This window comes from Homo sapiens, chromosome 4, assembly GCF_000001405.40.
Source record: "Homo sapiens chromosome 4, GRCh38.p14 Primary Assembly".
Classification (NCBI taxonomy): domain Eukaryota; kingdom Metazoa; phylum Chordata; class Mammalia; order Primates; family Hominidae; genus Homo; species Homo sapiens.
Genome location: NC_000004.12, coordinates 150,708,407 through 150,734,741, shown reverse-complemented (window position 1 = coordinate 150,734,741; position 26,335 = coordinate 150,708,407). Strand labels below are relative to the sequence as shown.

Genomic DNA, 26,335 nt, shown 5'->3' with positions numbered 1-26,335 from the left:
TAAGTGATAAACTCATCCTGGGACCATTGCTTATCTCAGTAGTTGTGCCTGAACATGTATAAGAAATACAAATTTCTAGAGGAAATTAATGGTTTTGTAGCTATAGAAATGACCCAAATTCACCTAAGGTGAACTAGAAAATTTGACAAGTAGTACATTTGCTATAGAATTGGAAAAATATTTAAAAGCACTGTATGGCTTCTAACATATCAAGAACAGATAAACTCATATGTTGCTGACATTTTTCTGGTACATTAGAAAAGATGAAAAATCTTCCAAGTGAATTTTATACAACCAGCAAATCTGAAAATTATTCTAGAAAAATAAAACTCTAGAAGACCAATTTCACTTAAGAATATAAGTACAAAATTTAAACTATAACTTTAAATAACATAATTCATCAATATAAAGAATGAATTATATAGTATGATGACTGAAAATTTTTACTGGAATTACAAAATTGTTTACTTTAGGATATCTACCTGCAAAATAAATTATATCAACAAATTAAAAATAGAAAAAACACGAAGATATCAGTAAAGGTAGAAAAAAAGCATATGATGATTGTTAGCTGCCAGCCGTATTAAAACTCACAGAAAAAGATTTATATAAGAAAACAATACAAATATGGTAAAGACTATTAAATATCATTTTAAATGATTAAAGTCATCTCTTTTAAAATCAGGAAAAATGAGTGATACCTACTGTCACTGTTGTTAACATATTTTTTGATGTTCTTGCAAGTGCAAGATACAGCTAATATAAATGCTAGTAAAGAAAGAAAGAAGATTACTTTCAAATTTCTAATGCTGTGGTCTAGGAAAATCTAATTCCTGTGTCCTGAGGTGTACCTGGATCTTGAACATTTTTCTACCAGAGTTAATAAGAGAATTTGGTGAGGTTATTAGGTATGAGATAGTTATGCAAAAAATTAATAGCTTTTCTTTGACAGTCAGTAACCAGCTAAGAATGGAAATCAGAAATACAGTGTATTCATAAATATGACAAAAACAATGTTTTGGGCCAAATTCTGCAAGAAAAGTACACATGCTCTTTGGAATGAAGCTACAAAATTTTATTAAAGCAAATAAGATAAAATATAAACTAATTCCATGCTGGATAGTCTGTCTTGGGGTCTTGAGGTGTGTGTGTGTGTGTGTGTGTGAGAGAGAGAGAGAGAGAGAGACAGAATCAGTCTTTTGTTTTGAAATAATTTGAGGCTTTCAGGAAAGTTGTAAGAATAAAGCAGGAACTCCTATTCACTGTTCTCCCAGATCTTGTGATTGTTAAATTTTTACGACATTTATTCTCTTTCTCTTTATGCTTTGTTTTTCTGAATTTTGAGAGTAAGTTAAAGTCAGGATTCCCTTCTACCTCAAAATACTTCAGTGGAAATTTCCTAAGCACATTCTCTGTCTTAATCTGGTACAGTTATCAAAATCAGAAAATTAACATTGGCAGGATGCTGTTACTTAATATACCAACATTACTTGTATTTTTCCAGTTTTCCAACTGGAAAAAAGACTCCACACTGTCTTTTATAGCCAAAGAGAGAAAATTTTACGTCACAAAAATGTTCATTTTTCTCAAGTCAGTATGTAAACTCAGTGCAATATCCATTAGTAAAGCACTCCATTAAAATAACAGTAGAGTTGATTTGACATTTAAATATTCTTTATAACAAATTTAAGACACAACTATTATATTTGGATATTTAAATATTCAGTTAATGTGGGAAAATAAATGCTTTAATGTAGTCCTACAATTTGTGAAAAAGTAATGGGATATACTTGCCTCTCCAGAAATTAAAACATCACTAAAAAGACAGCATATATTAAAATTCTTCCAGATGAAATAAGCAATAGGGAGGAAGATGACATGATAAATACTTCAGAAACATATTTGGAAAACTGTAAAAGTAGAACTTGGGCATATGTGTGAATTTGATAACCAAAATGTAGGATATTTAGAAAGTAGAAATAAAAAAGTAGACATCTATTACTACCTATAACATTAAGTGGAGGAAAGATACCATCAACAACTTGGAAAAACATAATGCCTATGACTGATAAATGATTAATATATTCACTGTACTAATAATTCTTATAAGAAAAACAACCCAATAGACAGAAACTCAGATGATATCAATAAGAAATTCACAAAAGAACCTAAAAGTGACCAGTAAACATATGAAAAGGATTCCTATGTAAATTAGATAAATTATTATCTATCAATTTTCCGTTCTTCGGTTGAGAGACAGTAAAAAGAATGATAACGTACTGTTGAAGTGAATAAGAGAGATGAAATGGGCAATGCTGTTCTTTTGTATTGTTAACAGAAAGTACATTTTTAGTCTTAAGGGAAAGCAGTATAGTCATAGCTATTAAAAAATTACATTGACACTCACAAACATGCAAATACCCATTTACCGAGTAATCCTATTTTTGTGAATATATCTGTTAGGAATTAAAAATAATAGTATTTAAAGATAGGTATACATGGCTATTTATTGCAGTATTGTATAAAATTTAGCAAAATAATAATTATGGAAAAAACAAGGAAATGTTTCTTTAAGTAAAGGAAAATTATTTTCTGAAAGAATAGAAGGTTAATAAATTATGAAAAAATTAAGAGGTTGATGGCTTCAGTTTTTAAACATGAGTTTTGACATAGAATTCCACCAAGCCATTTTAGTTAATTATTTTCAGTGTAATTATGTCATTGATTTTTTATTATTTCTTTTCGTTGTAATATTTGTGGGTACATAGTAGGTATATATATTTATGTAGTACATGAGATATTTTGGTACAGGAATGCAGTGCATAATAATCACATCATGGAATATTGGGTATCCATCTCTTCAAGTATTTATCCTTTGGGTTACAAACAATCCAGATACACCATTTTAGTTGCTTTAAAATGCACAATTAAATTATTATTGACTATTGTCTCCTGTTGTGCTATCAAATATTAGATCTTACTCATTTGTTCTGTTTTTTTTATACCTATAGATCATCGTCACCTACCCGTGACACCCTCACTACCCTTCCTAGCCTCTGGTAACCATCCTTCTACTGTCTCTCTGAGTAAAACTGTTTTGAACTCAGAGTTCAATTGTTCAGAGTTCAACTGAACAAGTTCAATTGTTTTGATTTTTAGATCCCACAAATAAGTGAGAACATGCGATGTTTGTCTTTCTGCGCATAGCTTATTTCACTTAACATAATGATCTCCATTTTCATCCATGTTGTTGCAAATGGGAAAGAATCTCATTCCTTTTTATGGCTGACTAGTACTCCATTGTGTGTAAGTACCACATTTTCTTTATCCATTCATCTTTTGCTGGACATATAGGTTGCTTCTAAATCTTAGCCATTGTAAACAGTGCTGCAACAAACATGAGAGTACAGATATATCTTCAATATACTGATTTCCTTTCTTTTGGATATATACCTAGCAGTGGGATTGCTGGATCATACGGTAGCTCTATTTTAGTTTTCTGAGGGACCTCCAGACTGTTCTCATGGTGGTTTTTACTAATTTACACTCCACCAATAGTGTATGTGGGTTCCTTTTTCTCCACATCCTCGACAGCGTTTGTTATTACCTGACTTTTGGATACAAGCCATTTTAACTCGAGTGAGATGATATCTCATGGTACTTTTGATTTGCATTTCTGTGATGATCAATGATTTTGAGCATCTTTTGTTTTGTTTTGTTTTTTGAGACAGAGTCTTGCTATGTTGCCCAGGCTGAAGTACAGTGACATGATCTTGGCTCACTGCAACCTCCACTGCCCTGGTTCAGGCGATTCTCATGACTCAGCCACCCAAGTAGCTGGGATTACAGGCCTGTGCCACCACACCCGGCTAATTTTTCTATTTGTAGTAGAGATGGGGTTTCGCTGTGTTGGTCAGGCTGGTCTTGAACTCCTGGCCTCAAGTGATCTGCCTTCATCAGCCTCCCAAAGTGCTGAGATTACAGGTGTGAGTCACAGTGCCTGGCCCTTGAACACTTTTTCTTTCTTTTCTCTTTTCTTTTCTTTCTTTTTTTTTTTTTTTTTCAGAGCCTCACTCTGTCACGCAGGCTGGAGTGCAGTGATGCGATCTTGGCTCACTGCAACCTCCACCTCCCTGGTTCAGGGGATTCTCATGGCTCAGCCACCCAAGTAGCTGGGATTAAAGGCCTGTGCCATCATGCCTAGCTAATTTTTGTATTTTTAGTAGAGATGGGATTTTACCATGTTGGCCAGGCTGGTCCCAAACTCCTGGCCTCAATTGATCTGCCTGCTTTGGCCTCCCAAAGTTCTGGCATTACAGACATGAGCCACTGCACCCGGCCTGAACACCTTTTCATGTGCCTGTTTGCCATTTATATGTCTTCTGTTGAGAAACGTCTATTCAAATATTTTGCCCATTTTTAAATTGGATTATTACTTTTTCCTATACAGTTGTTTGAGTTATTTACATATTCTGCTTATTAATCTCTTGTCAGATGGGTAGCTTTGCAAATATTTTCTTCCATTCTATGGGTTGTCTCTTCACTTTGTTGACTGTTTCCTTTGCTCTGCAGTAGCTTTTTAACTTGATATCATCCCATTTATTCATTTTTGCTTTGGTTGCTTGTGACTATGGGGTATTACTGAAGAAATTTTTGCTCAGACCAATGTCCTGGAGAGTTTCCTCAGTTTTTTTTGTAGTAGTTTCACAGTTTGAAGTCTTAGATTTAAGTCTTTAATCTATTTTGATTTGATTTTTACATAAGGTGTGAGGTGTAGGGATCAAGGTTCATTCTTCTGCATATGGATAACTAGCTTTCCCAGTGCCATATATTGAAGAGAGTGTCTTTTCTCCAATGTTTGTTCTTGGCACCTTTGTTGAAAATTCATTTCCTGTAGCTGTGTGGATTTGTTTCTGGGTCCTCTTTTTGTTCCATTGGTTTATGTGTCTGTTTTTATTCTAATACCATTCTGTTTTGGTTACTATAACTCAGTAATATAATTTGAAGTCAGATAATCTGATTCCTCCAGTTTTATTCTTTTTGCTCAGGATAGCTTTGGCTATTTTGAGTCTCTTGTGATTCCACATAAATTTTAGGGTTTTGTTTTATTTCTTTGAAGAATGTCATTAGTATTTTGATAGAGATTGCATTGAATCTGTAGATTACTTTGTTTAATATGGATATTTTAACAGTATTGATTTTCCAATCCATAAACATAGAATATCCTTCCATTTTTTTATATTCTCTTCAATTTCTTTTATCAGTGATTTATAGTTTTTATTATAGAGATCTTTCACCACTTTTGTAAAATTTATTTCTAGGTATTTAATTTTGTATGTTTCTATTGTAAATGGGATTACTTTTTTGAATTCATGTTCAGATTGTTCACTGTTGGCATATAGATATGCTACTGATATTGATTGATTGCTTGAGATGGGATCTCACTTTGTCACCCAGGCTGGGTTGCAGTGACAGTCATGGCTCACTGCAGCCTTGAGCTTCTGGGCTCAGTCTGCCCACCTCAGTATCCTGAGTAGCTGTCACTACAGGCATGTGCCACTATGTCCGGCTAATTTTTGTGTTTTTTATAGAGGCAGGGTTTTACCATGTTGCCCAGCTGGTCTCGAACTCCTGGGCTCAAGCAGTCCACCTCCTTATCTTCACAAAGTGCTGGGATTATAGACATGAGCCATCATGTCTGGCCACTACTCATTTTTGTATGTTGGTTTTTGTATACTGCAACTTTACTGAATTTGTTTATCAGTTCTTATAGTTTTTTGGTGGATTCTAGGTTTTTCTAAAAATAAGATCACATCATCTGCAAATAAAGATAATTTGACTTACTCCTTTCCAATTTAAATGCTCTTTATCTCCTTCTCTTGTTGGATTACTCTAGCTAAGGCTTCCAGTTCTATGTTGAATAATAGTGGTGAAAGTACATGTTCTTGTCATGTTCCAGATCTTAGAGGAAATGCTTTCAGTTTTCTCCATTCAGTATGATACTGGTTGTGGGTCTGTCATATATGGCTTATTATGTTAAGGCATATTCCATTTGTATCACGTTTTTTTTTTTTGAGGGTTTTTATCATGAACGGATGTTGTACTTTATCAGATGCTTTTTCAGCATCAATTGAAATGATCATTTTTTTATCCTTCATTCTGTTGATATCATGTATCACATTGATTGATTGATTTGCATACATTGAACCATCCTTCCACCCCTAGGATAAATCCCACTTGGTCATGATTAATGACCTTTTTAATGTATTTTTAAATTCAGCTTGCTAGTATTTTCTTGAGGATTTTTGCATCAATATTCACCAGTGAGATTGGCCTATAGTTTTCTTTTTTTAATATGTCTTTGATTTTGGTATCAGGGTAATATTGGCCTTGTAGAATTAGTGTGGAATTCTTCCCTCCTCTATTTTTTGGAATACTTAGAGTAGGATTGGTATTAGTTCTTAAAATGTTTGGTAGAATTCAGTGAAGCCATCTGGCCCCAGGCTTTTCTTTACTGGGATACTTTTTATTAAGGCTTCACTCTTGTCACTTGTTATTGGTCTGTTAGGTTTTAGATTTCTTAATGGTTCAATCTTGGTAGGTTTATGTATCTAGGAATTGATCCATTTCTTCTAGATTTTCCAAATTTATTGACATATAGTTGCTCATAGTAGCCACTAATGATCCTTTGAATTTCTACCGTATCAGTTGTAATGTCTCCCTTTTCATATCTGATATCATTTGTTTGGATCTTCTCTTTTTCTTAGTCTCACTAAAAGGTTGCCAATTTTGTTTATCTTTTCAAGAAGCCAACTTTTTGTTTAATCACTCTTCTGTATTGTTTTCTTCATTTCAAATTCATTTATTTCTGCTCTGAACTTAAGTATTTCTTTTCTTCTACTAATTTTGAGTTCAGTTTACTGTTACTTTTCTAGTTCTTTAAGATGCATTATTAGGTTATTTATTTGAAGATTTTCTTTTTTTTTGACACGGGCATTTATAGCTATAAATTCTCTTCTTAATAGTGCTTTTGCTGTATCCTGTATGCTTTAGTATGTTGTGTTTTTATTATCATTTGTTTGAAGAAGTTTTTCAATTTTATTCTTAATTTCTTCATCATTACACTGGTGATTCAGGAACATATTGTTTAATTTCAATATATTTGTATAGTTTTTAATATTCCTGTTATTATTGATTTGTAGTTATATTTCATTGTGGTCAGAGAAGATGCTTGATATTTCAGGTTTTTTGAGTGTTTTAAGACTTGTTTTGTGACCTAACGTATGGTCTGTTCCTGAGAATGACCCATGTGCTGAGGAGAAGAATGTGTATTCTGTAGCTACTGGATGCAATGTTCTGTAAATATCTGGCTGGGCGTGGTGGGTCACACCTGTAATCCCAGCACTTTGGGAGGCTGAGGCAGGTGGATCACCTGAGGTCAGGAGTTTGAGACCAGCCTGGCCAACATGGCGAAACCCCGTCTCTACTAAAAATACAAAAATTAGCTGAGTGTGGTGGCATGCACCTGTAATCCCAGCTGCTCAGGAGGCTGAGGTAGGAGAATTGCTTGAACGTGGAAGATGGAGGTTGCGGTGAGCTGAGAATCATGCCACTGCACTCCAGCCTGGGTGACAGAGCAAGACTCCATCTCAAAAAAAAAAAAAAAAAAAAAAACAACGAAATGTTCTGTAAATAACTTTAGATCCACTTGTTCTGTAGTACAGATGAAGTCTGCTGTTTCTTTTTTGATTTTTTTTTTTTTGTCCGTGAGATCTGCCCAATGCTGAAAGTGGGATATTTTGATGTGTCTAGCTATTATTGTATTGGAGTCTATCTCTCTCATTAGTTCTCATAATATTTTCCTTATATATTTAGTTGCTCCAGTGTTGGGTGCATGATATGGTTTGGCTCTGTGTCCCCATCCAAATCTCATCTTGAATTGTAATCCCCACGTGTTGAGGGAGGGACCTATGATCCCCATGTGTCAAGGGAGGCAAGTGATTGGATCACTGGGGGGCAGTTTCTTCCATGATGTTCTCGTAATAGTGAGTTCTCATGAGATCTGATGATTTTATAAGTGTTTGGAAATTCCTCCTTCACTCTTCTCTTTCCTGCCAACTTGTGAAGAAGGTGCCAGTTTCCCCTTCGACCATGATTGTAAGTTTCCTGAGGCCTCCCAACCACATGGATCTGTGAGTCAATTAAACCTCTTTCCTTTATAAATTACCCAGTCTTGGGTAGTTCTTTATAGCAGTGTGAAAACGGACTAATACAGTGCATATTTATTTACAATCGTTATATCCTCTTGCTGGATTGACCCCTTTATCACTATATAATGACCGTCTTTGTCTCTTTTTACAATTTTTGTCTTGAAATCTATTTTATCTGATTAAATGTAACTACTCCTGCTCTGTTTTGTTTCACTGACTTGGAATATCTGTTTTCGTCTCTTTATCTTCAGTCTATGTGTAACTTTATAGGTGAAGTGTGTTTCTTACAAGCAACAGATCATTAGGTCTTGTTTTTTAATTCATTCAGCCACTTTATTTCTTTTGATTGGAGAGTTTAGTCCATTTACATTTAATGTTATTATTGATAAGTAGAGACTTACTACTGCCATTTTGTTATTTGCTTTCTGGTTGTTTTGCAGACTTCTCTTCCTTTTTTCTTTCCTTGTCTTCCTTGTAGTGAAGGTGGTTTTCTCTGGTGGTATGATTTAATTTCTTGCTTTTTATATTTTGTGTACCCATTTTATTTGTTTCAGTTTGAGGTTATTACAAGGCTTGCCAACACAATCTTATAACCTGTTATGTAAAACTAATGGCAACTTCACTTCACACTGATTGCATAAAGAAACAAACACACAAAAAGGAACCTAATAAAAACTCTATGCTGTAACTTTGTCTCTCTAGTTTTAAACTTTCTGTTGTTTTTCTTTTTATCTCACTGTACTATCTATGTCTGGAAAAGTTTTTGTAGTTATTATTCATTGGTTCATTATTTAGTCTTTCTACTTGGTTTATTTATACACTCCAATTACAATGTAATACTATCCTGTGCTTTTCTGTGTGCTTACTATTACCAGTGAGATTTGTACCTTCAGATGGTTTCTTCTTGCTCATGAACATCCTTGTCTTTCAGATTGTAGAGCTCCCTTTAGCATTTCTTTTAGGACACGCCTGGTGTTGATGAAATCCTTTAGCGTTTGTTTGACTGGGAAAGTCTTTTTATCTCCTTCATGCTTAAAGGATATTTTCACTGGATATACTATTCTAGAGTAAAAGTGTTTTTCTTTCAGCACTTTAAATATGTCTTGCCACTCTTGTGGCCTGTAAGGTTTCCGCTGAAAAGTCTGCTGCCAGATGTATTGAAGCACCATTGTATGTGATTTCTTTTCTCTTGCTGCATTTAGGATCCTTTCTTTATTCTTGACCTTTAGATTATTAGATGCCCAGAGGTAATCTTCTTTCTGCTTGCTGTTCTATAAGCTTCTTTTACTTGAATTTGATATCTTTCTCAAGGTTGGGAAAGTTCTCTGATTATTCTTTTGAATAGACTTTCTACCCCTCTCTTTTTATCTACCTCTTCTTTAAAGCTATTAACTCTTAGATTTGCCCCTTTGAAGCTGTTTTCTGATTTTGTAGGCATGCTTCATTTTTTCTTATTCCTTTTTCTCTCCTCTATGTATTTTCAAATAGCCTGTCTTCAAGCTCACTACTTCCTTCTTGATCAGTTCTGCTATTAAGAGACTCTGATGACTCTGATGCATTCTTCAGCATGTTATTGCATTTTTCAATTATAGAATTTCTGCTATATGTATGTGTGTGTGTGTGTGTGTATATATATACATATATATATGTATATATATACATATATTTAAATTTATTTTATTTTATTTTTTGAGACAGGGTCTGGCTCTATCACCCAGGCTGCAGTGCAGTGGTGGGATATCAACTCACTGTAAACTCCACCTCCCTACTCATTCTGCTTGATTTAAAAAAAAAATTTAATCCTTTTGTTAAATTTATCTGATAAAATTCTGAATTTCTTCTCTGTGTTATCTTGAATTTCTTTGAGTTGCCTCAAAACAGCTATTTTGAATTAACTATCTTAGTTGTCATATGTCTCTGTTTCGTCAGAATTGGTTCCTGGTGCCTTATTTAGTTCATTGGTGAGGTCATGTTTTCATGGATGATGTTTATACTTGCTAATGTTCTTCAGTGTATGAGCATTGAAGAGTTAGGTATTTATTGTAGTCTTCACAGTCTGGGCTTGTTTGTGACTGTTGTCCTTGGGAAGGCTTTCCAGGTATTTGAAAGGACTTGGACCCCAACCCCAATAAGGCTGTGTTTTTTGCTGACTCGTAGAGGTACCATTTTGGTGGTCTTAGATAAGATGTGGAAGAATTATCTGGATTACCAGCCAGAGGCTCTTGTTCTTTTCCCTTTCTCCCATACAAACAGGGTCTGTCTCTCTTTGCTGAGCCACCTGCAACTGGGGGTGTGGTGATGCAAGTAAGTCTGTGGCCACCACCACTAGGGCTGCACTGGGTTAGACCTGAAACCTGCACAGCACTAGGTCTTGCCCCAGTTTCTTCCCTTCAGGGCCGTGAGTTCCCACAGGCTCCGGGAATGTCCAAAGTGCTGTCTGGGAGCCAGGGACTGGAGTTAAACAGCTTAGCAATTTTCCTGATATTCTATTCTACTGTCATTATGCCTGCACTCAAACCACAATACAAAGTCTTTCCTACTCTTCACTTTCCACAGGCAGAGCTGCCTTTCCCTGTGGCCACCCCCACCACCGGTCCACAGGGGATTCCTTCAGGCCACCACTGATGTTTACTGAGAGCCTAGGGGCTCTTCTGTCAGCTTGTGATGAATGCTGCCAGGCCTGAGACTCGCTCTTTAGGTCAGTGAGCTCCCCTCTGTCCCAAAGCACATCTGGAAATGCTGTCCAAGAGCCTAAGCCTGGACTTTGGGACCCCAAGAGCCAGCTTATTGCTCTACCCCCATGTAGCCGAGCTGGTACATAGGATGCAAGACAAAGTTCCCTTTATTTTTCCCTCTGCTTTTCTGAAACATTAGTAGTATTTCACTGTAGGCACCATAGCTGGGAATATGCTGGGTCACCCCTGAAGCTAGTAAGTCTCAAAGCCCAAGACACATGGTATATTCCCTTCGTTATCACTGCTGGTTATTCAGGGCCCAAGAGTTCTTTAATCTGCAGGTGATGAATCCTACCAGGACTGGATCCTTACCTTCAAGGCACTGGGTTCACTTTTGGTCCAGGTTGTGTCTAGAAATGAAATATCATCTGAGAGCTAAGGCCTGGAACGGGGCCTCATGACTCTGCCTGGTGCCCTATCCTACTGTGGCTGAGCTGGTATCCAAAATGCAAGTCAAAGTCCTCTTTACTCTTTGCTCTCCTCTCATTAAGCAGAAGCAAGGAGTAACTTTCATTGCTATGAGCTTCACTCCCTGGGGTTAGGGCACGGCTAATGCAAGCACTTCCTTAGCCACGCAAGCTGGTGTGTCTCTAGGTCATGTGCCACCCTAGTTCACTGGCCCTGAGCCCAACCCAGCACTAGGAGGAGCCTAGAAATTGCCGTCCTTGTGTCCTAGACTTCCTTTCAAGTTTATCTAGGAACCCAGTGTACTTTAGCCTGCGTGGCGAGGCTTGCCAAGAAACTCATGTTCTGTCCCCTGGGATATGTCATTCCCCTCTGGCTAGGGCTGGTCCTCATGCTCCCTCTATGGAAGGAGCCCAGCATAGCTTTATTCTTTGCTCTGACAGGGCAGCACTGAGACCAATGTAAAGTTCTCCAGTCGTTGAGCTCTCCTTCCCCAAAGTGCAGTTTCTGTCTGCAGTGCATGGCCACTGCTGGGCGATGGGGCAGAGGTGGCATCAGTGATTCAAGTCTGTCTCTCCTGCCCCCCTCAATGCCTCTTTCCATGATATGAAGTTAAAAACAAGTACTGTGATCGCTCACCTGATTTTTGGTTCTAGTGATGGTGCTTTGCTATGTGCAGATAGTTGTTAAAATTTGGTGTTGCAGCAGGGTGGACAAACGGGATAGGCCTCTATTCTGCCATCGTGCTCTGCCCTCCTCTGATGTTGATTTTTATGTTACATATGTCAATTCACACTCTCTTATGGAGGCTGAGGATATTAGTCACTTGTATGTTCCTTTTATTTTCTCTCCCCTCACCTCCTAATTTTTAGTTATATTTTAATTTTCATATTGTCTAAATTTATAACATTCATGTTTATAATCACATTTCTTATAGTACTTGAGTATTTGTTCTTTATTTAAGTGAATTCAATACTCACTCTTCATTTTCCCCAACTTTATTAGTTGGAACTTAATTTCCAGATTCTTTCTTTTGACTCAGTTCTTAATTGGCTGCATTTCATGGTTATTCTTTTTCCACAAGGGGCTTATATGTGTTGTAAACTTAAAGTTCTTCCATGTTTAAGAATATTTGCCTGCTATCTTTATATTTGAATGGCATTCTGCTTAACTTTATATATTTTTTTCTGGGTGTGGAAATATATTTTCTCAAATTATTTTTTTTTCCAAATTGGATTTAGCACCAGGCTGCTGCTGACATCAGCATTCTGTTCTGAGGGGAGGGTGGAAGGCTTGCATTGCAATGGAAGGGCATGAGGCACTTGCTGCCACAGCAGATGATCAACAAATGAAGGACCATAACTGCCCCGTAGGAATTGAAGAATTCTTTAAAGATTGACTATTTGGGGAACACAGACCAAGGACATGCCCTAATTTTCCATTTTGGAAAGTCACAGTTCAAGTTGTAAATTTCTGGCTGGTCGTGGTGGCTCACACCTATAATTCCAGCACTTTGGGAGGCCAAGGTGGGCGGATCACTTGAGGTCAGGAGTTCGCGACCAGCCTGGCCAACAAGATGAAACCCCATCTCTACCAAAAATACGAAAATTAGCCAGGCGTGAGGTAGCACATGCCTGTAGTCCCAGCTACTCGGGAGGCTGAGTAATGGGAATCGCTTGAATCTGGAAGGCAGAGGCTGCAGTGAGCCAAGATCGTGCCACTGCACTCCAGCCTGGGGGACAGAGCAATACTCTGTCTCAGGAAAAATAAGTAAATAAATAAAGTTATAAGTTTTTGTTCTACAATTTCTGTATTTCATAAGATACTATAGAATTTAATTCACATTGTCTTCCCAAAAGGAAGAGGAAAAAAAAAAAACCCAGTTCTTCTTAGGAGTCTTTTCTTTTTTGGTCTTAAATGTCAATGATCACAAAAACTTCTGGGTTTTCTTTATTATAGACCTGCATTGCTGAATATGTTATAACTTTGACTTCGGTTCCCTGAGGGTGATTGGACAATGAAAATTCTTCTCTCCACCCAATTGATTGTAATTGGAAATGTCTTTGATCAATACAAAGTACTTTCACTTCCCAGGGTATGAAGAATTCATCAGCATTGGACTTATAAAGCCACTCATCTAAAAAGTGAAAAAGAAAAGTAGAAACTTCTTGGGTTTCTACTTCTATTGTTTGGAGAGGCTCCACAGTCCTGGTATCTATCATGTAACCAAATATGGCCATTGCACATTGCTCAAATGCTTCCTCCAGAGTATCTCCCCATGTGTGTAACTGGACATCTGCTGTATGATCCAAATACTCATAATTCCTATTAACTGGAGGATAGTTGGCCTTGATCGCCTTCTGTTCCTCAGTCAAATTGTAATCTCTAACATCTCCCTCTTTCTGTGCCATGACTGCCTTGCTTGACTTAATATTGTTGGGTAACACTTAAATTCCCTTAGAACTTTGCAGACATTGCTTTGTTATCTTCTGACTTTGAATGTTGCTTTCAGAGGACAGTCTGATATTTTCCCTTAATTTCTGATTTGCTTTTTGTGTCTTCTGCCTGTGATTTCTTTGTCCAAAAAATTCTTTAAGAGGAATATGGTTCAGTATTGAACATTATTTATCAAATTATCCTGGGACATAGTTTCTTGTTATAATCAGCAGATTCTGATTTTTCCTTCAGTTCTTAGAAAATTTTTTAGATTATACTTTGAAATACCACTTTCACTTTATTTTGTTTTTTCTTGCTTAGTAACACTTAATAATATGTTAGATATATGTTTGTCTTTCACATCTATTAGTTATTCCTTAGTTGCTTGACTTTCTTTGATCCTTAGCCTTATTTTTCCACCAGTAAGTACATTTTTAATGTTTTATTTTGTCCGGGATATTTATTTGTAATTTATTTATTATGTCTATAAAGCTTATGTTTTGTTCCTAATTTTGTTTATTTAGGACTTCAGCCTCTTTCCTTAGTCACTTTATTTTGAGTTTTATCTTATTTGCATTATGTTTTTGTTATGTTGTTCATTAGAAAAAATAATCATGAATAATTTTCTTTTACTCCTTGAGATACTTTTTCATCAGATGTTTTGTCTTTTCTATATTAACGTTTTATTTTAAATTTATGTATTAACTTATTTGTTGATTGATTGGTGCTATATGTTTGTATAACTACCATACTTTTTTGTTCCATTGTGTTCATTCTTAGAATGCTCTGTGCAGATATTCTGTTGGCTTAGACAACAGGATATCTTAGTGACTTATTTCCCTCTCCATTCTCTGTGTAAAGCTAATATTTCCCTCTCCTGAGCTACAGTTTGATTTTTGTAGAATATCCTATGGCCTATCATGAAGAGGAAGAGCTTATTTGAAATAGGTGAGGAGTCTTTCTTAGAAATCCTCATTTTTTTCTAAGATTTTGTTAAATATTTTCTACCAAGTTCATTCTATCTCATTAGACTATAGACAGTTCTCATGGGAAGATGTGCTTAGGCTTTGAATCATTTCCCTCAGTCATTTAAGAGAGTAGAGTCGAGTTTACTTCTGTTTTAGTGAATCAGCCGCATTTTTCAATTTCTTGCTTCACCAGTATTTGTTCTGTAAGTTTTTCTGGCATCTCCAGGTAGAAGAGGAAAGAGGTAACGTTACCTACTCAGTTTGTTTCTCTCTGTATTTGAAGGCGTTAAGAAAATTATCAGAATTTTGTCAACTTACCAATATTGCTTTGGGGGCATGGGGACATGATTAAGAACTAAGCTTTGTTGCTCCCTCAGTTCTAGAACCAGTTTGTTTTTGTTCCCCTTGGCAACCAATTTTTTAATGTTTGGTGATTTATGGTACATTCCTTACATTGTTTCATTATTTTTAAAAATTATTTTTTGTTATTTATTTATTTTTTGCTAATTTGTTTTTAGGAAATGAGGAAGGAAAAAATATGTAATTGCAATATCAGCCTACCATCCTAACCTGGAATCTATTTCTTAGTGTACTTTCTAATTAATTATGGAGATGCTTTCTTTGTTGTAACTATGGGTTAAGATTGCACTTTTTTTAAATTTGAAATTTAGTGATTGTGGTGGTGGGTAGTGTGTGTTCTTTTGTGTGTGAATGAGAGAGAATGATGGAGTAAACGTGGAATTGGTGTATGAATGAGAGAGAACGAGGAAGGTGGAAATGTGGAATTGAAAATTGAAGAAATGTTTCTAAAACTCTGTTGTGAAAGAGATTAAATTGATTTGATCTGAAAAGTATATATATTTTCAGTTTCGGTGAGGAATGATGGTGCCAACAGTAGCTAATATTTCATGAATCCTTATGCTATTTCAGTAGCTATTAGAGGTATATATAAGTAGCAACTAATTCTTACAACAAACCTCTGAGATAGTACTGATATTATCCCTCATTTTATAAGTTTGAAAATAGCATGAAGTAGAAATAACCTAGAGTTACAACTTGGATCCAGATCCAGGTAATCTGTTTCCCAATTACTAATCTATGAATTTGGTTCAAATTTTATTAGATTTCTAAAGACCGTGTGAATAGGATCTAATCCTCGAATACATTGCAGCTTTATTCTAAGCTATTTAATTTTATGTTTTGTCTAATATAGTTTTTCATTTTAATCATTGTGCTATGAGATTTGCAATATTGTGTAGTATTTTAAGGTGTTATAATAAAATTTCTAAATAAAACAAGAAATATTTCCAAATAAATATTGTTGTTACTTAAAATTTTAGCAGAGAAAATATATTTGTTCATCTCTTCTACATCAGAGTCAATTTTAAGAGAGCAAACGTATATTTTTTCTTATGTCTGCTAGTCTTTACCCTTTTTCAACAAACTTCAATTGGTTGAAGTATGCTCATGTTCTAACTGTATTGCTCTTAAACAATACTCTGCAGGATGAGGCATTTTTTTTTTGAGACAGCTTATATCTTAGAGGTTATCTGTATTCAGCCTTGAATTCAAGCTGTACATTCTTAAATAATATAACTGAATTTTATCTACTGCTAATTACCTTCTTCTGCAAAAAAAGATGTTGTCATCTATTTAATGTACGATTTGTGTGTAAAGTAGCTGACTTGTTTCATTTATTATCAGAGGATTGATGACAGTGTAGATCTGCAATGTGCATCTATTTAGTTCATTGCATGCTTATCATTGGAGTGGGATATCCTTGACATTTTATGCTTTTGGTTTACAGAGAGGTTCCATGAATGTCATGACATCATTGATGAGCTGTACATCTTAACTTTGTTTCTTAATCTTATGGTTATAAACAGAATATTTATGAAAAAAATTATGTCATGCAGAAACATCATACCTTGTAAACATTGTGCATGTGTGAATATACAAGTTTCCTGGCAATCATTTTTGTAAAGAAGGTTGTCTTTTAGAATTTTAGTTTCTTTAAACTAATGTGATATATCTGTAAAACATATGTACTGATGATTATCACTTAATGATTTTTCTTTTAGGAATCTATGTGAGTTAAAATCAACTTCAGTAAGAATTTTCAAAAGGTCTTTGGGCCAATGTTGCTTTGAATTTTATCTAACATACTGTAGAACTCACTTGTTGCTAGCTTCAGTGGAACTGCAAACCAGGTGGTCTCTCGGTTTTTTTGAAGTAATAAAAATGGAGTATTTTTTTTTATTAAATAAAGACCATGAAAGCACTGATTATTATTATTATTATTATTATTATTACTATTATTGTTATTTTGAGACAGAGTCTCACTATGTCACCCAGGCTGGAATGTAGTGGTGCGATTTTGGCTCACTGCAAACTGAGCTTCCTGGATTCAAGTGATCTTCCCACCTCAGCCTCCCGAGTAGCTGGCACTACATGTGCACACCACCACACCTGGCTAATTTTTGTTTTGTTTTTTGTAGAGATCGGTTTTGTCATATTGCCCAGGCTGGTCTCAAGCTCCTGAGCTCAAGCCTCCCAAAGTGGTGGGATTACATATATGAGCCACTATGTCTGGCAAATATAGCAATCTATATATTTTTTAGGTGAAGAATTCAAAGATTTTTTTCCAATTAGCAAGCAAAATATTTTTATTAAAATAGTGAACATTTTTGTGAGTACTTATAAATTTTTAAAAATAAACACTTCTATAGTACCACTTGTTTTTCTGAATTCTTAACAAATATAAAATAAATTATCATAACAGTCCTCTGAGGTAAATGTTATTATCTTCAGCCCAATTTTACAGATAAGAAAACTACAGCGAGGCTCAGTGGTTTGTTTTAGGTCATATAGCTAGTATATGATGAAGCTTGGACTTGAACCAGGGTAGTCTGATACCCAGTATAAACTGGTGATCTCTTTGCTATGTGGCCTAACGTCATCTATTAAGTGATTTAGTACACATTGTCTCATTTCAGTACCACAACACATCTTTGATGTATGTATGCAAGGTAGATTGAGAGAATGTGATTTAGCTTTGATCACAGAACAATTAAATCCATGATTCTGAATTAGAACCCAGGTTTCATAACAATAACCCAGTACAGTCTGTCCCCATAGCCTCTGTCGACTTCATGGCAGTGTTTTGCTATTGTAATAATATATTCTATTATTGAACATATTCTTGACAGTTCTAAAGGAATGTGAAACATTTTAACAATTACATATTTTAGTGTTATGTATTTTAGGGTACTGTATATACCAATTTTAGAGCTAATCATGAGAAATTATTCAATTTTCCTCTTAAGTAGCTGCTTTTCTCCTCATTGATCGATTTTTAAATTTAAACGTGTTTATTTTTCTAATTATAAAAATGAAGTATTTTTTAATATAGAAAATTTAGAAAATAAAAAATGTAAAGAGTGAAAGTCATTTATTGTTTAGCTTGAACATCTGTTTATCTTCGTTGGATTTTGCTTTTTGTTTTTGACTAATTTGAAATAACTATAGATGTAAAACAAGTTGCGAAGGTAATGCAAAGGTCATACCTATTTTTTACCCTATTTTCTTTTTTTTATGCACTGAAACCTCCGCCTGCCTGGTTCAAGCAATTCTCTGCCTCAGCCTCACTAGTGGCTGGGATTACAGGTGCCCACAACCACGCCCAGCTAGATTTTGTATTTTTAGTAGAGACGGGGTTTCACCATCTTGGCCAGGTTGGTCTTGAACTCCTGAGCTCGTGATCCATCTGCCTTGGCCTCCCAAAGTGCTGGGATTACAGGCATGAGCCACTGCGCCCAGCCCAATTAGCAATTTTTATGTTGTCACTAATACACTGTAAGTGATTTTTTTTTTTGTTGTTATCAAGGCTTTGTTGATGAAGGAAACTGGTTCCACTTCTTAAATCTTAACCACCACACGATGTTTGTTTCGAGCTATATCATCAGAACATTTCCTAAACGAAAGTCAGACTCCAAATCATATTTGCTCACAGTATAATTCTTCTTGGGTGTATGGATGGTCTTCAGAGCAATGTAGTTGTGTTTGTCACTAGTGCATCTAAAAAACATAAGGATTTTTCCTTCATATTATCATGTTCAAATATCACTTATTCTTAAAAACAAAATGTTCTCTTAGCAATATCAATGCAGTCTTTAAGTTGTAATGAAAAGTACTTAGCTAGTTTTTGGGTTCTATTAGTAATTGTTCATTAATCAGTTCCTGAATACATTCAGTTCTGGTCTCATTGGCAAGTGTCTGTAACTCACCAACATTTTGAAGAAAATGCTTATGATGTAGTCTTTCACTAACACTTGGCAATTGTGCACACACAAAACATACAAATAAAATATACATATTTAAATTTTGGCAACCTGATGTGGTATTTTATAAGTACACCAAACAATGTAGTTTTTATGTGAAATATTAAATGTCTGCTTTTGTTGGCTTATTCAGTATTCTTTTCAATATTTCATTTGACTTTGAACATTTTTCTTTGCAGTTTTTATTTAAACTGTTTGTTTTTATTATTTTATTTATTACATCTTTGCACATAGCCACACTTTCTTTTTAATTCTTAATTATTTATGGCTACAAAACTACTGCCATCTCTCAACTGTTCAGGACCACCACCAGAATAGCCTGGCAAAGCTAAGTTGATTATATACTGCACTAAATGAGAATGCAACCTTGACAGTATCTTAGAAGGATCTCAGGGTGAGAGGTTGGGGTGGGTATTTATAGAGTTTCTAGGTATGAACTCAAATGGTTTACATCTTAGGTCTTTCAATACGAGGTCTGATTGTGGTTGGGTATAAATTTATCATAGAAGATTTTAGGATTGGGAGAAAGTGAGGCAACGGTTCTGATGTAGGTGTTGATTAGTAAACAGTTGGTAAGTGAAATTTTTTCCTGAGTAACTTATTGTTCTGAAAATGAGACTGTTTGTCTAAATAAGCAGTTTATTATTCAAATACATTGGTGTTCCTGAAGCAAACAGTGAAGTTATTTGTTCTTTGCAATCTTATCTTCCTGGGGTAGGATTTCCTGAAACAAATGGTGAAATAATATTGACTCTGGTGTCTCAGTTTTTAACCCTGCTTGTTAGGTGAATGTGGATGGCCTTGTTTCTCAAAACTGAACTCACTATATTAGCAATCTTAATTTAGACTAAAACTGGTATAAATTCTATTGGAAAAAAATATATTTTAATGAGCAAAAATTAAATATTATACCAACATGTTCTGAAGTGTGTATACATTATGGCTAAACATAGCTAATTAACATATGCATTACCTCACATATCATTTTTCTGTGTTGAGAACACTGAAATCTACTCTCAGCAATTTTTAAGAATACAATACATTGGTATTAACTAGAGTCACCATGTTGTACAATAGATTTCTTGAACTCATTCCTCCTATTAGTTGAAATTTAGGATATAAAATTTTAGTTAGATTGGAATCTTTTCTTGTAATTACTTCAGTTATGATTTGTTTGCTACTATTGATACATTATGAAAAGGCATGTCTTTTTTGTCAAATAAGTCTAGTGAAGTTTGTTTTGCTAATTGTAAACATCGTTAAAACTAGATAATAAAAAATTTACTTCCCATATTAATCAAATACTGTTAAAACATAAATTTAAAATAATAGCTTTCATTAAAATAATTGTAAAAATGTTATATAAACAAGTACATTTGAGTTACAAATTATAAACTGTTCTTGAAATATTAGACATAATGTATTTGTACTGTACATAACTAGTATCCACATAAAGGGAATTCAGTAAGACATAAACTTTATTGAGATGAGTCCACTGATTATGTGGTTGGATGCTGTGGCCATGTCTACTTGCTATAAACCTTTCTAAATTCCCTCAATTTCTATACTTATCTCATTGTGGAGTGTAAAGAAGTGGTACTTAGACTTGCATCAGAAACGTTGATCGACCATTCTTGAATAGCACACCTCTAAACTATCAGACTGGCTCACAAACTAATTGAATATTTTTGTTAGGAGCACACTCATCTGATCTCCATCAGCAGCCACAAATGGTCAAAGTTTATTTCATATTTACCCAGAGATCCTTCTGTTCCTCATGTCTTTGGTTTTATATGGGGAAAATGTGATAATTGTATTTGTCGATTTAATAAAAGTGTCTCTATTTCACTGTTAGCATTGTAAATCCCTTTAACTCCTCCCTAATTTCATCAAACTAGAAGTGATATGTTCAAAACTCATTGCTTTAGATCATCACTTACGGTATCTCAGGCAATACTGTGAACAGGGATAGGCCACATGATTTTATCTGTATTACATTCTTGGGCTTGCATAAAAATTTACTTCACTTATTAGACAAATATTGTTAAAACACAAATTTAAAAGAATAGGTTTCATTATACTTTGCCACGTTACAGTTACATAGGCAAAAAGAGTACTGCCAAAACCAAAAGTTTGAAAATCAATCTCCTGGACTTTTTGCTTGTCATTTCCTTTTGTTGAGTGATTTTTCCGAGTTCCTGAAATCCTCTTCACAGGAAAAATTGTAAGGAATGTTGCCTCCTGAACATAGGACAGAATAATGTAATATGCCAACTTTCCTTCTCTACCTATGTGTAGCAAACAGTGCCTTGTATGACAATGGCTGATGAACTGAGATGTCATTGATTATATTTCTTTATGGTACAGATGATCATACCAACAACATTTTGTGATTGAATTATAAAGAACTGTGGCTGGATGCAGTGGCTCATGCCTATAATCCTAGCCTTTTAGGAGGTCAAAGCAGGAGGATTGCATGACCCCAGCAGTTTGAGACCAGCATGAGTAATATAGCAAGACCCCATCTCTTCAAAAATTTAAAAATTAGCTGGGCTTGGTGGCACATGCCTGTAGTCTTGGCTGCTTGGGAGGCTGAGGTGGGCAGATTGCTTGAGTCCAGGTGGTTGAGGCTGCAGTGCACTGTAATCGGGCCACTGTACCATGGCCCAGGTGACAGAGCAAAGCCCTATCTCAAAACACACAAAATCCAAAAAACCAAAAAACTGGTTTTCTTTGTGGCTTTTCGAAACATAATGTTTCTGTGTGTTTTTGTGTTTCCTCCTAAATGTGTGTGTGATATATTGGAAAAGAACCACTCCTTATTTTGCTTATTAAGTAGGAATCTCTTTGGGTTTTGCCGTTTTGTAGCTTGGTAGTATTCTTTGATAAAGGCTTTTTAGGGATGTTGCTGTTTTCTCTCCTTTACATGTCTTGTCCAGTAGAATTGTAATCGTAGCGTAATTTTTTGGCAGTAAATATTTTGCTATATTCAGGAACTTTTTTGGTGCTTCGTTCTTGCCAGTAAATGTGAAATTTGGTTGTCAGGTGACAAGTTAAGGAATTTTCTGAGGAGAGAACATGACATGAAAATATTACTTCTGGAGAAAAAATTGTAAACTTTTACCTCACTTTATGTTTTGATTAGGACATTGGCATTCCTTTAGACAGCTAAAGGGTTTTTTATTAGTTCAAACAATTGTGAGCACATTATTTTTTTATTCCTATAATATAGTCATCAACATGTTAATGTATCTGGACTATCTTAGAACTTAGGGAATTTGTAGTCATTAAATCTTTAAGGATTACTTACAAGGCCTGGCCCTAACTGGATACTCAAACGTTGAGGATGGGGATACTAATAACATTAATAGTAGCTATGATTTATTGCATACATTTTATGGGTCAGGTATACATTGATTCATTTAATCCTTACAATAAATAACCCATGAGCCAGGTGGGCATTATTTATTATCTCTGTTTTACAGATGAAGAAAAGACAAAGACTGATTAATAAATTGCTCAGTGATTTCAACTCAAAACTTTATGTTCTGCTCTTTTAATCGCTACAGTATACTGCCTGTCCTTGAGTTGCACCAGAAGAATTGAGTAAAAAATGATTTCTCTTCCTTAATGATAAGAAATGGACTAGATAGGGTGTCATTATATAATGATGAGCTCTTCTAAATGAGTACCTTCATAAACCTTGGAAACATCAGTGAGTAAACTTTTGAATTCAGAAGAGACCCATTGATGATACTGAGCATTTTAAAAGGTCTTTTATTGATATTATTGCCTCTGTTCCTGTATTTTTTACATTGCACAAATAATTTTTACTTTGGCACTTTGTGTCCCAATTATCATTACTCTGGTAGGAGAAGTTACACAGAAATGTGTTTAAAAGTAATTTTTACAACTGCTGGACATAAGTACCTTTATAGTTATTGATGGGTTTTTTAATAGTTATTTATAGTTATTGATGGTTTCTTACATATTCTCTAGAAGGTAGTGAATCTTACTAAATAAACTTGGCACTTTGCTTTGACATACCTGACAATGCTATTTTAAAAATACAACTCTTGAAATTATATTGTGGTTGCAAATTTAACTTCCAGCTGGGTGTGGTGGCTCACACCTGTAATCCCAGCATTTTGGGAGGCTGAGGTGGGTGGATCACTTGAGATCAGGAGTTCGAGACCAGCCTGGCCAACATGGTGAAACCCCTTCTCTACTAAAAATACAAAAAAATTAGCTGGGTGTGGTGGTGCACACCTGTAGTTCCAGCTACTCAAGATGCTGGGGCAGGAGAATTGTTTGAACCTGGGAGGTGGAAGTTGTAGTGAGCTGAGATTTTGCCACTGTACTCCATCCTGGGTGACACAGTGAGACTCTTTCTCAAAAAAAAAAAAAAAATTAACTTCTTAGATTTGACTTCTTTGTGTCACTATGTTTCCTATGTTATACCTGAAACCTGTGATTTTTAACCACAAAAGGGTCTCTCTGTGCATACAAATATCACTGCCCTCTAGTTAATAAGATATTCAGGTAAGGCAATTTTTTTTCATTGGGGTTCATACTGAAACTTTCAAATTTTTTTTGATGTAGCTTTCTTTTATACGTCTGTTACTTATTTATGAGATAGCTCCTGGGAATTAGTGGTGCAATCTGTGGTCATGAACTTGCTTTTTGGGGGACATTTAGCTCTCAGTCAGAGATAGAACTGTAAACTTAGCCTGAATAATAGTATCCTTTAGCCAACCGAACTGATATGTTGAGTTTGCAAGCAGAGACGTAAAGTGTAGTTCTAATAAACAAGGGCCTCTTTTTCTTCTAATTAATGAGTCTACATCTTTCCTCACGTTATTGGTACATGAAGATAGATAGCTGTAGGAGGTAAAGCACTCATTCTTCACTGCCTTGTTTAGGGTCAAAGTAATTCACATGTAAGTAATATATAAAGATTAGCTAATTATCTGAAAAAGAAGAAAAATAGGGAATTTGGTACGTCTCTTTGGCTCATGTTTACTACCTGTAATCAAGAGCTGGGCCAGAATATATCCTTTTTCTGTGAATGGAAAATTATCTTAAGGTAATTAAATATAGTATTTTTTTTTCACTTTGACCCAATATTTCTGAGGACCTCTTCCCCCTATTTTTGTTAGCATTTGTTTATTATCTAAAACTTTCTGATTTTTGTCTTTGTGACTTCTTTTCCGAGCTTCAAACCTGTGTGATACCACTGTATACTTGTAATTGCCACTTGAAATTTCTTATAAGAAGCCCCACTTTTGGGGAGAGACTTTCTAAAACTGTATATTCCCCTGTTAACTACTCCTCCATTTTTTCCCATCTGAGAAATATCACTTCCATTTACTTACTTGCTTACATAAATCACCCATTACCCATTTTTTCCCTTACTACACACTTAATGTCTGTCCACCATCAAGTTCTGTTTATTTTGCCTCCAAAAACATTTGTTATCAATACTGTGTTTTGTTATCTTAACCATCACATCTATAGTTCAAAACATTTGGAGTAATCTCTTGTCTTATTTTTCTTCCCCACCTATATTTTCTTTCTTTTACGCAGAATAGCCAGTGTAGTCATTCTGAAATTTAGTATATGTTGTTCATGCATAGAAACATCCAGTTCCTTCCCATTGCTCTTAGGTTAAACCTACAATCCTTAATATCAACCACAAAACCTCATTCTCCATTTACCTTTGCTCCTAGTCACAATACCCTTTTATTCATCTTCTACTCATCTTTTAGATTTTCCTTCAAGTGTCACTTTTACACAGAAGCCTTCTCTGCCTCTCATCCTTTACCCCCACCAATCACCCAATGTAAATCTAACTAAGATCTTTCTGTTATAATATCTCATAGCACTTAATAATTGTTTGTAATTATATATTTTATTCCCTGATTATTTCCTGCCTCGTTCTTTTGTGTGCTTCATGAAGGTAAGAACTCTATGTCTATTCATAACATATCCATAGAGACTTGTACATTGCCTATACATAGTAGGTGCTCAGTAAATAATTATTCAATAAATGAGTACTAATTACAGTCCACACATTTGATTTCTTTTTTACCTGATTAAAAGTAGTAAGGATGGTTCTCTATGGAAACAAATGGATTATGCATGAGAAAGGCCAAGGTAGAATTATTTTCAGCCTATTATTAGCAGGAGTTATAGGTTAATAATAGCGTCTCAAATTACTGCAATGGGTTGCTTTAGGTCTTCAATCCAAAAACATACTGATTGTGCTTGAAATGAAGAAATAAGCCATTTGATTTATGAAATACAAGTTAGCACACTTTACATCAAAATTTCAAGGCGCATTGTTGGCTACATTTTTTGACATTTTCTCTGCTGTTTAAGGGTAACTTAATTTTGAAACAGTGTGTTACAATGTGATAGAAGGAACATGGTTTCCAAAAACATGTTCGGGTTCTAGGCTTCACAATTTATTAGCTGGAGAATATTGGATAAAATTCATTGAACCTCTCTGAGTCTTAATTTCCCTTCTATGAAATGGATATAATGAAACGTTAATAAAAGGTTTATTGTGGAGAGTAAAATTATATAATGTAGGTTAAAACACATTATGAAGTGTGTTAGTGATTATCATTGTTGCTATTATTGTGACCACTAGTGTAGAATTTAAAGGTCATGAATAGCCAAGCCAGAATCTTTGAGAAATTTAACCTGTGTTAAAGGAAAGGGATTATGACTGAAAGGGTTGTATTCATTAACAATTTGAATTTGGATTGTTTTTTGTTCTGAATAGCAATGATCTATGTATACCCCAACTTAAGAAACTCACACTCATAGAATTTTTGTCTCTATTATATAGCCTTTTTAATTCTTTTCTGTTATAAAATGCCAGCTGGCTTAAAATACCGATAAGAAATGCATTTTCTCATATGAACTATTATTTATTTTGTTGGTATCTTTTTTAAAAATTCAATTTTCTAGCATTTTATAAAACATGTTTTACTATAAAGCTTCAAAAATGAAATAGTCAAACTAGCATTTGTGAGATCATAATAAGGATCTGGCAACAGTATAAACAAATTGAAACTTCAGGTAATTTACCAATTCTATTTTTTGATACCATTTTCTTTGTGTTTAAGAAGGATTATTCATTAAGTCTTTTATTTAAGTCATGGAAACCATTTCAGCCCGACTTTATAACATAACTGTAGACCATATATTTATCTCATGATTTCTTCTATCAA

The 26,335-nt window shown here is 34.9% G+C and overlaps 1 protein-coding gene and 1 pseudogene across 9 annotated transcripts in view, besides 1 other annotated feature; one reads left to right on the top strand and one right to left on the bottom strand.

Annotated features, from left to right (window-relative positions):
• LRBA (LPS responsive beige-like anchor protein) overlaps positions 1 to 26,335 on the top strand; it is a 751,293-nt gene that overhangs the window by 280,986 nt on the left and 443,972 nt on the right. The gene's annotated exons all lie outside the window — the stretch shown is intronic.
• Positions 11,491 to 11,785: a silencer, noted in NCBI's record as "tiled region #7547; K562 Repressive non-DNase unmatched - State 15:Elon". NCBI's record gives its function as "represses a minimal TATA promoter and a strong SV40 promoter by Sharpr-MPRA in K562 cells {active_cell/tissue: K562}" and the evidence as "EXISTENCE:reporter gene assay evidence [ECO:0000049][PMID:27701403]".
• On the bottom strand, positions 13,126 to 13,664 carry ZBTB8OSP1 (zinc finger and BTB domain containing 8 opposite strand pseudogene 1; annotated as a pseudogene).